This window comes from Homo sapiens, chromosome 4 (genome assembly GCF_000001405.40).
Source record: "Homo sapiens chromosome 4, GRCh38.p14 Primary Assembly".
Taxonomy (NCBI): domain Eukaryota; kingdom Metazoa; phylum Chordata; class Mammalia; order Primates; family Hominidae; genus Homo; species Homo sapiens.
Window position 1 is genome coordinate 73009572 of NC_000004.12, and position 17506 is coordinate 73027077.

Below are 17506 nucleotides of genomic sequence, written 5' to 3' on the forward strand. Positions count from 1 at the left end.
AAAGGTGTAAAAAAATTGTTAAGAAATAATGACCAATAACTTCTCAAATTTCGTTTTTAAAAAACATTCATCTACACATCCAAGAAGCCCAATGAATTCCAAGTTGGATAAACTCAGAAAGCAGGTACATTGTTCACTGCTGCATTTGCAGATCCTAAAACAGTGCCTGACACATAGAAGACCTTCAATAAATATTTGTCAAATCAACAAACAAATTAATCTTCATTTCACAAAATAGAAACCTGAAGCACAAAAAACAGAGTAATTTGCCCAAAGCCAAACAGCTAGTAAGTGATGGAATCTGGTTCTAAATCCAGGAAGTCCAGCTACATGCAACAGAGCCCTCAATCTTAATCCCACACTAGTCTACATCACGTACCAGCCCTAGTGGTACTAAAGTGTTTGAATCTGCATCTTCTGTGTGAAACCCATATTGCATAATTAAACACCTCCTGCTGTTTTTTCTGCTTTCATATGAAGGACATGACGTTTCTGAAACATCACTCCTCAGATCTTCAAAGACAGTGAAGTATAGTGAAAAGAAATGGCCTCTAGTGTTACACAGACCTTGATTTAGATCCCTAATTGGGCTGTATATGAGCACTGTCACCTTAGATGAGTAATTTAATGCGCCTGCCAATTTTCACATCTTGTTAGGCATAGACAGTTATAATATTTGTACAACACACTGGGTCAAAGTAGCACTTGGTCAAAGGTAACTGGCTTGGGAATCCAACAGCCCCAAGCCCATCCCACCCATCGCCAGGGCTAAGAACATCTGAGTAGTCCTACAATCTATTTGCAAACACAACTCTCAGCACGCTCTAACTTACCCAGCTTTATTATCTTTAAAAATGGGGCTTTGGTTCATAAAACAGGATAAATGATGTCTACTTCATAGAGTACTTGTGAAATATAAATGAAACATCATAGACAAAATGTTTACTAGTCTCTATTACCATGCTAGGTGCTCAGTTAATGGCAGTCATGATCATCATGGTATTAATATCAGTGGTAGCATTTGTTCACAATTTCCATGGGATCTCTATAACCAAGGAGCAGCCTGGGCCAGATTCACCATGCGTGTCCATTTCTCTGCTTCTGATAACAATGAAATATTCTTGCAGATTACTTTTCGTTTACTACTGATGGCCGTGGCAAGCCATCTGGAGCAGCCATTGTGACAGGAGCAGCAGTGGTAGCAGTGGGTCCCCTGTGCCTTATATACCCTGTGCCCCATATCCCTGAGGCAGCTGACTGTGCCACCCCCAATCTCACACAGCCAGGCATGACCTGGCCCCAGGCCCAGATTCACTGCTGCTCCAGACCCTGGCCCCACATCACCACTCTCGCCCATTGCCATTGCAGGTAGGGCATGGAGAGAAGTGAACAGTCCCCTGAGCCCTCCCCTGGAAGCTCCCAGGAGCCCACCACCCTGGGGGCTGCTGCAGTGGGGTGAGGTCAAGTCACCTACCAGCTAGGGAGCAGCATGGTCAGGCACAAAGTGGTGGGCAGAGAGGGGCCTCGAGACAAAGCTGGACCCGTGGTGGTACTGCACCTGCACAAGGAACATGGCAGCTGGCCCAGGGCACAGAGCTGGGGCCATGCTTCAGGGGTCAGGCCAGGAAATGGGCGCCACACCCACTTCAAGGACCTGGCCAGCAGACCAGCCACCATGCCCACCCCAACAACAGTGCCAGGTTCCTGCACCTAGGGAGGATGCTGTATGTGGGGTAGCCCAGGGCCACATGCCTAGGGTCTGCCCCACATCACAGTGACTGCAGAGCCTGACCCTCCTGATGGCCAAGACTGGGGCCCACAATCCACTCCTGGAGTCTCTCCCCAGGCAGGGCCAGGAGCCAAGGGAGGGAGAGCCCTGGGCCACCCCTGAGCACCTGGCCATGGGAAGAACTCACAGCAATGTCTCCCCTGCCCCAGATGATGGCCAGGGTGCAGGGAGAACCTGGAGCCCCTGCCCCAAACTGCAAGGAGGTGTGGGCAGGGCTGCATGCTCCACAAAGCCAGTGGGAGCCAGGGACAAATGGGAGTCCCACCCCTTCTGAGTTGGCAGGGCAAGAACTCCCTGGGTGCAGCTGTGGCCACCCTGCCAAGGCTGTGGATCCATGTATCTTTGCACTCTTGGGAGCCCACAAAGGCAGCCCTGTCTCCTGTGGGCTCAAGGGTGCCTGCTGCTGCTGCCTGGCTTCTCCCTGCTGTTGGCTCCTGCTCCAATCTTGGAACAAGATCAGGGCCGAGCCCAGGTGCTGTCACAGCCCAACGGCAGCGGGGGAACACACTCAGAGCAATGTTGACATGCCAGCCTCCTGCCACCTCTTGGCCCCTCCGGATTTGGGGTGCTGACAAGTAAGGGAGGGAGGTTGAGGAGGGGCTGAGGATAGTCAGGTGCTGGCCTGCAGGCACGCCCTGGCACAAACAGCCTGGGTTCCATGAGCTGTGGGAGGAGGCAGACAGGGTTCTGGGTGGAGGGGACCAGTCTGGTGAAGCCCCACCTTCAAGCTGGGGAGGGCCTGAAGCCTGGGGGCCCAGCCACCAGTCCCCTGGACTAGAGGGGGAACTTGTGGTGCTTTTCCCTGGGCCCACCTATGGCCACCCATGGAACAATCAGCACAACTTCCTCCACTCTGAGGCCCATAAAAACCCCAGACTCAGCCAGGCTTGAGGAAAGAGACAATGGGGAGACCAGATGCAGAAAGGAGCTGCCCATCCCAGGGTCTCCCCTCTGCTGAGAGCTCAGGAGACAGAGGGATGACCAACTGCAGAGAGGAACTACCCTCTCTGCTAAGAGCTGAACACTCATCTGGACACCCTGACTACAGAGTGAAGCTGCCCACTGCAGGTCTCCTCTGAGCTGTTCTACTGCTCAATAAAGCTCCTCTTTGTCTTGCTTACCCTTCACTTCTCTGTGTACTTCATTCTTCCTGGTTGCAGGACAAGAACTTGGGGCCCACTGAATGGTGAGACTAAAAGAGCTGTAACACGAACAGGGCTGAAACATGCCCCTTGCTTGCCATGTTGCAGGCAAAGAGAAGAAGAGGAAAGCTGCAGCCCTTTGGAGAGCCCAGACCTGGGAGTTCCCCCAAGTCAGGGCTGTGACTCCCTTTTTGGGGCCCTGCATTTCCTGGTATCTCCAAGCTTCCAGGCACCATCACATACCCTGGTGCCAGCTGGGGAAGCAACTTATGCTGCACCTGGTCCAGCCACAGCCTCACAGAGAGCTAGCGCCCATGCCAGCACCTGGAGTGGCCCACCCAATGGCAGCAGCTGGTGTGTCTCTGCACAGTGGCCATACCCCACATTCACTCACACACCCCTCGCCACTCCACACCTGATTCACAGTCTCCCTTGGAGCCATGGAATCCAGGGAGGTAGCGTGAGCTAAGTGCAGCCTGCCAGGCCAAGTGGGTGGAACGAGCCCAGTGGGCCCTAGCAAAACTTGGGCAAAGGTGCTACCAGCCACAGAGGTTTCCAGCCAGAAAAGTGATCCCATAAGACTACGTTTGACTGCTTGTTCACTCAGTGACAAGACATAGTACTGTGCACTGTGGGAGATTCAAGAAAAGCATAATGATAGACTTGGAATAGAATGAGACTACTACACTGTTGACTTGTTTCCCTCAATACCCTGAATATTTTCAAAAACTTTCACTAAGTGAACACTCAGTCAATTTTTGGATACCGCCATTGATGGGGTGGCCACCATGTAAAGAATCCCATTCAAGCTTGGGACAAAATTTATTAAAAATTCTTCCTTATTTTGAGTCCAAATCCGACCTCCTTAAGTTTCTACCCACTGGCCTTTTCACAATTTGGTGCCATATTGATGAAAAAGATAACACTTTAAAACTCACACATACTTGGGATTGTTTGGAGACCTGCAGGCTGGACAGACCCATCAGGGTGTTATTTATAGGAGGAACTAGAGAGCTGCCTGGAAAAGAAGTCATTATTTCTAAAGAAGAGCAAGCTATGTCACAAGCAGCAGACAGAAGCCATCATCTATAAACAGCTGATGATGTCAACTACCTACTTTTCTATAATAACTTAATTTGTGACTAAAAATCTACCCTTTCACACATCACATATTTGTTTGTAGATGATGAGAGTCAGGCAAATGAGTAGAGCCCAGCGTCAATCTCTTAAGTAGTCTTTCAATCCTGCCTCTATGGTCGCATTTTTAAGCCCCAGGGATAGGAAGAACCTTACAATGAAAAATAAGAAATGGAAATTTTTCTGAAATTAGATAATTACTACATACATGTTTATGCTAATGAATTTCAAAATCTCAATGAAATAAAACATTAACAAGAAAATATCGATAATCAAAACTGACTCAAGAAAAATATCAAACATGAAAAGTTTGATAAAATTGAAAGAAATTGAAAGTTATCAACTAATTTTCTCAAATAAAAGATTTAGAACCAGACAGTTTTACTGGGAAGCAATTCAGTTCATTTTATGAAGTTAGCATAACCAAAAATAGCAAAAGTGACCAAAAAGTGTCCAAAATACAAAAGCTGTAAATCAACCTTACTAATGTAAATTTGAAAGGACAAAATAAAATAAGAATAGAGCAAATTAAGCAGCCGACTGAAGCAAACATTTCCATAATCAAGTAGGATTGATTTCAGGAGTGCAATAATTGCTTAATACTATAAATAAGTCAAAGGACAAAAACCATATAATTATCTCAAAAGATACTAAAATGAATTTGAAAATTAATAATCTATTCATTAGGAAAAAGTAAATAACTTTCAAAAACCAGAACTAGAGAAAATTCTTTTAGTATGCAAGTAAATAAATATTCTAAAATAATGACATTACATGTAAATCTTTAGAGTGATTTCCATAAGCAAAAAATAAGTGAAGATATCCAAAATCATTCTTGATCTGATAGAGCTATGCAAATGGAGAGGACAAATTGTCATTATATTGGAAGACAATATTGGAATATTCCAATATTATATTGGAAACAATTAAAATTGTTTACTCAAAAGTCGTAAAGATTTAATTGAAAATCTCTTCAATTTTAGTATTCAAATGTAAGATACATAAACATCCACACTTTCTTCTATATCATAAAATATGTTAGAAAATACAATAGAATAGATATTCCATTAACAATAACATTACACATATATAGAATTCCTAGAAATATACAGAATTCCTAGAAATAACCCAAAAACAAAATGTGAAGGACCTATATAAAAAAAAACACACTTTTTTTTTTTTTCCCTGAGACAGAGTTTCACTCTTTTTGCCCAGGCTGAAGTGCAACAGCACGGTCTCAGCTCACTGCAACATCTGCCTCCCGGGTTCAAGCAATTCTCCTGCCTCAGCCTCCCAAGTAGCTGGGATTACAGGCACATGCTACCATGCCTGGCTAATTTTTGTACTTTCAGTAGAGACTGGGTTTTGCCATGTCTCGAAACCAACCTGGTCTCAAACTCCTGACCTCAGGTGATCCTCCCACTTTAGGCCCCCAAAGTGCTGGTATTACAGGCGTGAGCCACCATGCCCGGCTACAAGACACTTTTTTTTTTTTTTACTATAAAATGTAAAGAAGAAGGAGAAAAAGGTATAAAATGTAAAGAAGAAGGAGAAAGGGAGTAAAAGAGAACAAAACATGTTCAGAGACACATATTTTCTTCATTTTTTCCCAAATTAATTCATAAAATTTTCACAACTTTCATCAAAATACCTGACTAAAATCCAAATTATTTTTCAGGACCTACAGAATCCAGCATTGTCTGGCCCCCAGCTGCCGACTACATCTCTGCCCTCATCACCTACTCACCCCCTACTGCCTCCAACCACAGGGCCTTCCCACTCTTCCTCCAGAACACCAGGCTCTCTACCACATTAAGACTTCTGTACCTGTGTTCCCTCCACCTGTAGCTATTCCTTCCCACCCACTCTGCTACTTTATTCAAAGGCCACCTCTTCAAAGAAACATTATTGGACATCATTAGTATCATACTCCTCATTTTCTTTCTGTACCCTACTTTTTCTCTTTGTCACACCTATCACTACCTGACATTGCACTGTATATCCATTCCTGTTTTTGTCTCTTGTCTGTCTCTTCAAAGAGAATGTGGACCCCATGAGAGCAATGACCACCTGCCTTGTACACAGTGACATCTCATTCACTCCCCAGCACCTGGAATAATGAATGTCTGGCACACAGAAGGACTCCACCAATATTGGTTTAATGATGTAATGAAAAATCCCAACTAGATAAAATTATTCCAAGTTTATTTTGGAATTAGAAAAGATAATAAAATATTTTTAATGCAGTAATAAAGTTGTCTTGCTTCACCAAATATTAACATTTATTTCGAAATCACAGTAATTAAGTCAATTTTATACTGGTCTAGGGGCAGGCAGAATAATAAAACAATATAGACAAGCCCAAAATAACCATAGTTCATAGAATAACCTAGTATATAAATAGCCAACATCATAAAACAATGGAGAAAGTCGAGCATTAGTTAACAAAGGATGTAAGATAAACTGACAAACTTTTGGGAGAAAAAAAAAGCTATTGTATTTATTTTTTAATTATTTATTTTATTTATTTATGTATGTATTTATTTTTGAATCGGAGTCTTGCTCTGTTGCCCAGGCTGGAGTGCAGTGGCTCAATCTTGGCTCACTGCAAGCTCTGCCTCCTGGGTTCATGCCATTCTCCTGCCTCAGCCTCCCGAGTAGCTGGGACTACAGGCACCCGCCACAATGCCTGGCTAACTTTTTTTGTATTTTTAGTAGAGACGGGGTTTCGCCGTGTTAGCCAGGATGGTCTCGATCTCCTGACCTTGTGATCTGCCTGCCTTGGCCTCCCAAAGTGCTGGGATTACAAGCGTGAGCCACCTCACCCAGCTGAAGCTATTTTATAAAGTATATTAAACTTTACAGGTCCCTAAAATAGTTTTTGGATAAAACAATTAAACAGGAAAATATATATAAATATTTTGCTGCTACTTGAATATGAATGATAGTGCTAGAAAATAACAAAGAAAAACATGAAAAGATTTGAGTGCATAAAAGTTTTAAGTTTGTACATAGCTAAAATATTATAACCAAAATTGAAAAACTACACAATGAAGAAAAAGATCTTGGCACACATATAACAAAAGGCCATTATGTTGATCATATAAAGGAAGATTATAAATAAATATAAAAAGCATTGAAATTAACAGAAACACAAAACCCAACAAACATACTAAAATGTTCAGTCTTAATGGTAATTACAAAAGTGTAAATTAAAACAATGCATCTATCATTTCAAAATTATAAATGCTAAAACTTTTGTTAACAAAGATATGGTGGAATAGCTTCTCATAAGTTGCTGTAAAAAAAAAGTCATGTTTAATAAAAGCCAGTAATTCTACTCCTAGAAATTATTCCTAAAGAAATAATCAAATGTAGGCTGACATTTATATCCAAGATTTCTCATCATAGCATTTCATATAACAACAAAAATGTATTTTAAAAAAACAAATTATCCAGTAATATGGTGAAATAATTTATGGTGCATTCACATAATGGATGATTATGTGGGTATTAAAGATCTTTTTCAATGAATATTTAATGATATATGCTAGCATTTATTATATATATAAAGTTTGAGAATATGAAGGGGTCGAGGAGGAGGAGGGAAGAATTCCAAATTATATACATAGTTATTATAGGATATTACAGCTGAACGGGGGCTCAGATTCTATAGGTAAAAGAATTGTCACCTTTTTCAACAAAGTAGTTGCATTTAGAGCTTAGGTCTATTTGGTGGAGCTGAGTAGTACCATCTGCTTATATAAATGTATACACAGTAAATGGTGCCTCCTGATAAGAAATGAAATGGCCCATAATTTTGAGAATCTAAAGATTTAAAAATCTGTCTGATTCACTAGTGTGGGAGAGGGTGGATATATCCAAGCCAAAGCAGACATAAACAAAAACGTTATGTCCCACAAGGAAACCCAAATAAGAAAGACTAGGCTGCCGATCACCAGAACTGAGATCCAGGGCCTTAGGCATTGAAGGGAATGCAGGTTTCAGGATCAGCATACATCTAATGCTGGAACCTGTTTTATCTCAGCTCCTCACACCCAGGCCCTGTGACACCATGAAGTAAAGTTCTGTGCAGCTCTTAGCATTGTTCCTGGCATGTAGTACTCAATGAATATTTTCCCTGAATGAAAGAAAAAATGAGGGAGTCAATGAGTAAATACATGAATCAAAAGTTGTCTACATGGACCAGACAATGTTGCTGTGGACACTTCAACTAAGCATCATGCTGAGAAATATCTCCTTCAAACCTCAAATTGCAGATCCATAGATATTTTTACCAGGAGCAAGGACAACAGCAAGCAGGGTATTAGGAACTTCCCTAACAGCTGTGACATCATAGTGAAGAAAGTGCCCAGGGGTAACTGAGTCCAAGGCTGAACTCTCCTGGGAGTTAAGAGATGCAGCCTGTGACCCTCAGGGCTACATTCAAGTTTGAGAAGGCAGCCAGAGGAGAGCAACAAGAATTAGTTGAGGTATGAGTGTAGGTGTTCAGGATACTTGGAACAAAGAAACCAGGGAAAAGCCTGCACTGTGTGCTTCTTTGTCAGATTGGTACCCAAGCCATTTTGATTTGGATGTTTAACAGAAAGAGTTTGTATTTTGCAGACACAGGCTTTTACCAAATAAATTATTTAAATTACACAATAACATGCTGTTTGGTAAAAGCAAAACATCTTGTGTAGACACATGCACAAAATCTCAGGCTTGTGCCTAAGATCAAGTGTACACACATGCACATAGGCATACACATGTACACGTATACTTACACCACAACAGGCACAGAGAAACATTTTTGTATTATAAAATTTCTCATTGAGGGCTTTGAAATGATTTTGTAAATCAGAAAATATTTAAAACATAGTTTGTAAGGTGGAAAAGATAAATAAAAGGTGCACAACAGTAAAATTCCTACTTTTCTAAATTCTGTAAGATTTTATGACCACAAGTTCATATTGCATGGTGTCATGCTATAGAACACAGCACAAGAGAGGATTAATAATTCTCCTTTTTGGATCACCTTTGCGGTGCAGAGGCCTGAGGAGTGAGGTCGAAGAGGCTACCTCTGCAGAAGGCGCTGGGGAGGAACCAGATTGATGGGCAGCCCTGGTGGTGGTGACAGCACTGGCAGGAGCCAGCTGTCCAGCAGGAGCCCCACCTGCCTCACTGCTGGGGCAAAGGGAAGCACTGACCCATCCTGACAGCCACGCAGACTGATGGACCAGCGCATGGAAGAAAACCAAGGCGGACTCACAGAATTAGTTTGAAAAAACCTGGGGGACCTGTAGTTCTCACAAATTGAGTGAGGAAAGAACCTGAAAATATGTTTTATTATTGTCATCGAGACCCCAGTTTCAACCCTAGACTATTGTGGCCTGGGGAGAAAGTTTTCAATTGATTGTCCTCCCTGGAGCTTTTACGGTTGTGAAAGAAATAAAGAAACACTTGAAAAGTGAATGGTGTTAAGTCGTACAGGACTAAGTGGGGTATAGGGAATTGACACTAAAATTCCCTATGTAAGAGGGAATTCCCTATGTAAGAGTTTAGAAGAAAATTATCTGAAAACCAAGGGGCCAGAAAATTTTCATTAATGGGAAAGAAATTCACAATACACTAGAACTGAATAAAATGAGAGAACTGGAGATGGGAGGCAGGGAGCATTCTAGTGGCATATTTATCCTACAGCATCATCTTCATGGAAGGTTCTAGAAAAGTTATCCTAAAAGGAAATGGTCACGGTTACTAGCAAGTTCAATCAATCCTTCGTACATAATATATGGTTAAACATCATACAAGAATTATTTATTTTCCATGTAATCTTATAAAAGCATTCAAAGTCGAGATACATTAAAGAACAAAATATCTGCCTAGTGTACCCATTATTCTGGGAAAGAAAAAATGGAAAAAGAGAAAAGGTATAATTACAAAAAACCGGTGGTGCTGTATTTTTACTGCATTTGGAACCACCACAATCTGACAGTGTTGATTGCCCCCTGGTGGTGATATTAGTGAAGATTGGTTTCTTGGGGAATTTTAACTATTTTTTTCATGGGAAATGGTTCCAAAAGAAGAAATGTTATCATTGGCTTGAATTCTTCTACACTACCCCTACATTGATCGGCCAGCAAATGTAGCTCTTTTCCATTTCTTCCCCTCCACTAATACTTGCTTGGTGCTTCCAAAAAGCCCCTCCTTTCACCACAGCTATGGTAAAATGAACTCAGGAGAATTTGTAGATATAGGCAATAATATGGTTAATTCCAGATGGTAAGAAAATGCTATTACATATTTCTAAGGAAAATACTAAACATCATGAAAATCATATGATGTTAGTTGTGGGCTAAAAAAAACAAACAAAACATCAAGAAAATCAGTGGTATGGAAAGCAGGCATATGGACCTCACTCGTCACTGTGAGACTTAGGCAAAAAAACTAATTTTCCTTGAGGCTGCTTCTGAGTTGTAGTGAAGATTAAATAAGTATGCAAAACATCGAGCATAATTTCTGCCATGGAGCAGTAAACATTATTCTTTTCCTTGAATAACTACTGGTACATTTCTAAATAAGGTTCAGAAACAAAATAGATTTTTCAGAAAATTAAAATGCCATACTGATGGAGAATTGAAAATTTCATTATGGAATAATCTATTTTCTGCCTATTGCATTCTGCCTCTTAGTTTTTGTGTGTATCCTTCACTAGCAACAACTGAAAAGAGAGAAGAAACTAGAACTATCATAGTTTCTACCTATCGAACCCAATAAGAACTCAGTTCTCTGCTCCTTGCTTGTGGGACACCAGCAAACTAAGAGAGTTCATTTGTCCTTGGTGAGATGAACAATATAGAGTTTTACCTAAAGTGAAGTTACTAAATTAAAAGATTATCATCGATTCTGAGATTAAATATTTCTTACCTATTTGGTGCTCAAATATTCCTTTGTTTGAGACAGAGTTACACTCTTGTTGCCCAGGCTGGAGTGCAATGGCAGGTGACCTCGGCTCACTGCAACCTCCGCCTCTGAGGTTCAAGAGATTTTCCTGCCTCAGCCTTCCAAGTAGCTGGGATTGCAGGTGCCCACCACCCTGCCCAGCTAATTTTTTGTGTTTTTAGTAGAGACGGGGTTTCATCATGTTGGCCAGGCTGGTCTTGAACTCCTGACCTCAGGTGATCCACCTGCCTCGGCCTCCCAAAGTGCTGGGATTACAGGTGTGAGCTACCGCACCCGGCCAAATATTCCTTTTTATGAAGCACTGGTGGTGTGACTGATGGTTTGGATTTGAAGGGTGGCTTGAATGTCTCACCATGTAAAAAACATCACCAACCTTAAACTGACCCACAGATTTTTAGTCTATGAAATTACTGAAGAGCTACTGAAACTTACTGAGAGAGGAGAGCTGAGCAGGTTGGAATCCAGAGACAGGTTGACCAGGGCCTCACTGCAGGCTCTGTTAATTACAGACCGTGTGATTTATGTGTGCTTTGCTTAGTGACTCTTAATTCAAGATGTAATTAGACTCTTTGTGATTGAAATGTTATTGATCATGAAAACCACAGATCTCAAAATTCCTGTACTTGCTGATCTCTCAAGGTCCTTCCAGCACTGCTTTTTAGCCTAATACAAGGACATGCACCTTGGTTCCAACCCCACATGATGCCAACTTGGAAAAAAACACTTGAGTGATCAAATTAAACTTGACAAACTAAAAACAGTAGAGATTCTTTATACTCTTGAGCTAAAAGGTAGAGGGACAGACTTGCTATGTATAGGCATCCAGAGAAAGATATTAGAATTCTAACAGAATGACTTCTGTGTCTGCTTATTACACAAATATTATATGCTGATATGTACATGAAACAGTTGTTTCATCACTTCTAAAAACATAAACTGCTAGTCATAAGTTTTAAAAATGCTAAATTTCCCCCTGAGGTTTTACCCTCTTGTGTCAATTTTCTGAATTATCTGCCCAAGGAGGGAGAAAACAAAGGAAATTGAAAAAAAATGAGAAATGAATAAGTACAGACCCCCAAATTCACTATTTTGGTCTTTAACACTGCCTCTCTCATAGAAATTGGGAAGTTAAAATCATATACCAAAAAAAAAAAAAAAAAAAAGAAAAAAAAAATCAGGCTATTCTCTACAGTGTCCTACCGCTGCCTCTCCATATGTAGGTCACAGGCACCACCTAGAGGCATTAATCATCTCTAACTCTCATTTCAGGGAACTCATATAAGTCAGTTCAAAATCCAGTTGAGTTCTCTCTCTAGTCACAGACTTGAAAATTAGTTAATCAAATAAAGTACTCCCATCTCTCAGCTTCCAGGGCAACAGAGCAAGACCAAATGAAAAGGAGACATGCAAATATACATATTCTGTCAAATAATTAGACTTATCTGTCTCACTATCTCATTTGTTAACACCTTTGTGATTCCACTTGCTGCCTATACAGCAAGAAAGACGCATAACATTAAGGTATAGTTCTACTTTGGAGAGTCAGTAGATAAACTAGAACTACAAAAATCCCAGGTAAGCCTTAACTAAAAAGATAACATTCCATTTTGACAATGAAAATATGTCTGCAGGCTGAGCGTGGTGGCTCACGTCTATAATCTCAGCACTTTGGGAGGCCAAGGTGGGTGGATCACTTCAGGCCAGTGGTTCAACACCAGCCTGGCCAACATGGTGAAACCCTGTCTCCACTGAAAATACAAAAAATTAGCTGGTTGTGGTGGCGCACCTGTAATCCCAGCTACTTGGGAGGCTAGTCAGGAGAATCACTTGAGCCTGGGAGGTTGAGGTTGCACTGAGCTGAGATTGTGCCACTGCACTCCAGCCTGGGAGACAGAGCAAGACTCCATCTCAAAACAAAAAAGAAAGAAAGAAAATATGTCTGCAATAAGTAACATTAAATGCTGCCAGTTCCAACTGCTATCAGTGAAGGACAAGAAGTTTGTTTCCAGAAGGTTCCACCTTTATGTGCCAGCTTTATCTCTCAGCAATAACAAAATATCTGCATGATGTTTCAAATTAATCTTCTGCACATCTAATCTTCGTAACATTAGCTGGAGTAAATAAAAAGAGTTCTGAGATTCCAAGGCTTGTGTATACTCAAGGTATTACAAATCACCATGGAAAGTTAAGGGAGAGTTGAAAATAATAAGTAGCTATGAGCTTCCTGCACATAACTGAATCCACAGCTCAGGACTATGTTTGACAAATACCTGGACTTCTAATATATGAGCAACTTAATTTAGAATTCAGCTCAGCTTGGCAGAAATCATGTTGGCTAGAGACACTAGAGTCCTAGGTTCTTGCCCCATCTTTATTACTCTCTGGCTATGGGATCTGGTAAAAGTAGATCCTTCAATATTTGAAGAAACCTGGTGGTGTCAGTTTTCTCAATGTGACTTTCACCAACTCAGATGCTTTGGTTTAAGTTACTGTAAAATAACCATAAGTAAATGTCTGGGATCCATATATCCCATCTACTATTCCCTCACAAATTTGATTAATAAACCTCTGCAGCCACCAGCCTCCCTCCCTCCTTCTCCATTTTAGGACTCAGTAATATCTAGCTAAAATCAGAGACTTGGGCGCAAATTCAGACTGAGTTCCTTATTACTGTTTACTATGTATCCTTGAGCACGATATTTAACCTCATTAAGACTCAGTGTCCTCATTTGTCAATTGGGGGTTATAATAGCCAATAAGCAAGAAGGAAATGAGCTAAAGCATGAGAAGCATTCGGCACAGGGGCTGACACAAGTACAGTTCAACAGGTATGTGATAGATACTATGTTATTAATATTATTATTTTATTGATTTAAGAACCTACTAAACACATTTTATGTGTTAGCCCTAAGGGGTAAAACCCTGCACCCCACATTGGGCAGGTGCTAATGATGATGCACATCCACAGGCAGTTACAAAACAGCATCATACATGCCATGTAGAATCGTGCAAGAGCTATGGCTGCACACCACTCAACACGCATGTGTGGGACAAGGGAAAGTTCCCAGAAGAGTGATACCTCAGCTGACGGATGATTAAAGCAGAGAGAGAAGCAGTGTTCCTAGGCATGTGAAAAGGCCTGGAAAAAATAGTTCAGACATAGAGTGGTTGGGAAGTTGCTCAAGGGATCCTACTGCCTTGGCTTCCCAAAGTTCTGGGATTATAGGCATGAGCCACCATGCCCGGCCGAAGATTTTTTTTTAAGGGATAAATCTATAACAACATTGGATGACAAGGAGGGGCATCATCAATGCAATAGAAATGATGACAAAGACATACTCAGAAAAGGAGTTTGATAAGAGGTGGGAACAATTCTGAGGGCACTCTACACTTGGGGGTTTGGTGGACATGGAGGTAGGCAGAAACAAGGGCAAGGGTCAGGCTGCTTTGGAGGCCATTCAACCACTTTATCCTGGTTATGACAAAGAATAGCCACAGAATCCTCTGTTCCCTACAAGAAAAATGAATGGAAACCCTTGGGTGGGTGTGGGCAGGGTGGGGCGGGGCAATGCAGAGAAAAAGCAGTGTCCTGGATGGCCAGGTACACCCAAGAGGAACAAGGAGCACCTCCCTATACAAGGAGACTTGCGGGTCCTTCCATCTCACATCACGTCCTTTCCCCACAGGTACTGCAGGCTGCTACAATAACAGATGCTAGCAGAGAAAGTTAAACCAAAGACAAAAGCACAACCAAGAATCACCAAATAGTTCAGCACAACCAACACCTTGATATATGAGCATCCATCTAAATATACAGAAGATCTACTTCCTAAGGAAATACAATAAATACAGCAAACTGAAAGTGACTTTAAAAGAAATATAATTAATATCTTCACAAGCATTAAAAAGGACATCATATAACAAAAAAGGAAGTGCTTGAAATAATTAAAACAAAAATATTATAACTGAAATAAAACTGAGTAGAAGAACTAAGTGGACAGAGCTGAAGAATAGACACAGCTGATGGGCAAATGAGTGACCTAGAGCACAGCTCCAAAGTCAAACTGATGGAAAGTGGAAGGAAATAAAGAATGAGAGAGTGGAGACAGCTAGTATAGACAACCTAAATTGTCTTAAATTGGGACTAGAAGAAAGATGAGAGAAGAGAGATAGAATGACATGGAATACTGGGCATATATAGATTTCAAGAGTGTTGAATGATGGAGGAGAAGCATACTGGACAATAGAATAGTGCCAGGAGAGAAACAGGGGGGAAAGACAGTGGATATGAATAAAGTTTGTAAATTGGTGTCAGGAAATTGAGAGAGTTAACATTTACCACGTGATTTTTTTTTAACATGGGTGAGATGAGTTTTTCTTCCTCTTTCATTCCTACCTTCCTGGAGGCTGAAAGCTTCCACATCTAAGGTGACAGAAACAGGATTTCTATCATGAGTAGAAGACAGTCTTTGAACATAATGAGATACCAAAGAAGAGGAATGTGTTAGCAGGAGATAAACCTTTACAATACCTGAGCTTTTTAAAAGATTTTTCTACTCTCAGTTCAGAGTACCACTTTTATCCTCCTTTCCTATCTTCTGGACCTATCCAATAGCAGAATTCTTGGGGAACAGAAAAGGACAATTATTCCAGAGACCCCTGCAACAAAGTAGACTGGGATTAGGATGAGAAAAAGAGGAGTTAAGAAGATCAAGGGATGGTGGGAGGGCTCAAGGAGGAGAGTCCAGAAGAGGTGCTCTGTGATGAAGGGGATGGCCATGTGGGCCCCGTGAGAGTTTATAAATGAAAGCCGACCCACGTGAGTGGAGAATAAGATGGGGAGTAAAGGAAGCCCTTCCTAAATTCTCACCCCCTTATGGATATTATGAGTTAAATGATAGCTCAAACCTGAAGTAAGAACTGAATGGACTTTCTTTGCAGCTGCGTTGTGTGTTTTTCCAGCTGAGAAAGAGTGTAGGGCTTTCCCCCAACAATTAACAGCAGAGGTCTAAAGTTTTCTAGTGGAAAACAACTTGTGTTGGAACAAAATGCCCAACTTTCTTTTACTGTGTCTCTTACTGATTGCCACAGCCTTCTACCTCCAAGTTAAGAGGTAGAGTCACCAAGCTATATTTGGGGGCTCCTACTTGGGGTGTTCCCAGAGGTATCTAACAGAGTGTCCAGTACATTTGAAACTAAGTTAAGGGACAGTCCATCATGGAAGCCTAACTAGTCACAAGATGGTAACAAGAAAAGTGGGTCCAGGAGAAAGTGGTTTTGAGGTTTAGGATATCCAGACAGAAAGAGAGAGAAACAGTATAAATCATTTTGTGATCTTCTCATTACAGCCAGTTAAGAAGACTGGAACCATGCCTTCTTCAAACACAACAGGTCAGTTCCTTTATTGAGCTTCCCTACAATATACAGACAGTGGCATGTAGAGCCCTATTATTGGATAAATTATTTGTCCAATAATTGTTTTAAGTCTGGATCACTTCTATAAAGGGAAGACCCATCAGAGCTGGTAGGGCAAAACTTGACCACATACAATGGCTGCATCAGAACCAATGTGATGCCCTGTGATGATCAGGGGAAAAGGTATTGTTGCCTACATTGAATAATACTAGGTAGAAAAAACTAAAGACCTTTGTTAGGAGTGAAAACTGGTTCCCAAGTGGGAGAAATTTAAACTGCAGAATGTGGAGAGTAAGAATATGGAGCAAGAATAAAATGTATCAGAAAGTATAAAACAGAAAATGGTTATGGAAATTTACTACCTCTATCTTCAATGTGATATGTAAGTTAAATGCCGAAAATGCATTTGCCTTGATGCACAATGGATTGGTGAGCTTAAAGCAAGACTAAAGAATATTGAGAAATTTTATACCAAGCATTTTATCACCTAACAAGAGAGGCCAAAGAGACTTCTAATTATTTCACAAAATTATAGAAATGTTATATAAGGTGGTAGAGAAAGGAAGCATGGAAGAAGACACAAGACACCAGATGTTGCTCATCAAGTGTTGCCGGTGAGCATTGACAGCAGAGGGAACATTAGCCAGCCTCTGGCTGCACACTGGACTAGTGCAGATTATCTGGGTGGCAAAAGGAACAGCTGAGGCTCTTTTAAAATTACTAGCTAGTGTTGTACAAAAGGAGAGAAGGTTAGCACTCCCCTTGACAAGGATGGAAGAGGCCCTTGGGCCTGACAACATGCATATGGTTAAGGCATTGCCACCTACTTCGTGGCATCCAACCATCGTTTTTATGGAACAGAACAGAGCCCTCCGAAATAATACCACACATCTACAACCATCCGATCTTTGACAAACCTGACAAAAACAAGAAATGGGGAAAGGATTCCCTATTTAATAAATGGTGCTGGGAAAACTGGCTAGCCATATGTAGAAAGCTAAAACTGGATCCCTTCCTCACACTTTACACAAAAATTAATTCAAGATGGATTAAAGAC

The 17506-nt window shown here is 41.2% G+C and overlaps 1 pseudogene, besides 1 other annotated feature; it reads left to right on the forward strand.

Annotated features, from left to right (window-relative positions):
- Positions 1997-2892: an enhancer, noted in NCBI's record as "H3K27ac-H3K4me1 hESC enhancer chr4:73877285-73878180 (GRCh37/hg19 assembly coordinates)". NCBI's record gives its function as "activates a minimal SCP1, AML or CMV promoter by ChIP-STARR-seq in primed H9 embryonic stem cells {active_cell/tissue: H9 hESC(primed)}" and the evidence as "EXISTENCE:reporter gene assay evidence [ECO:0000049][PMID:30033119]".
- On the forward strand, positions 17177-17301 carry RNU6ATAC5P (RNA, U6atac small nuclear 5, pseudogene; annotated as a pseudogene).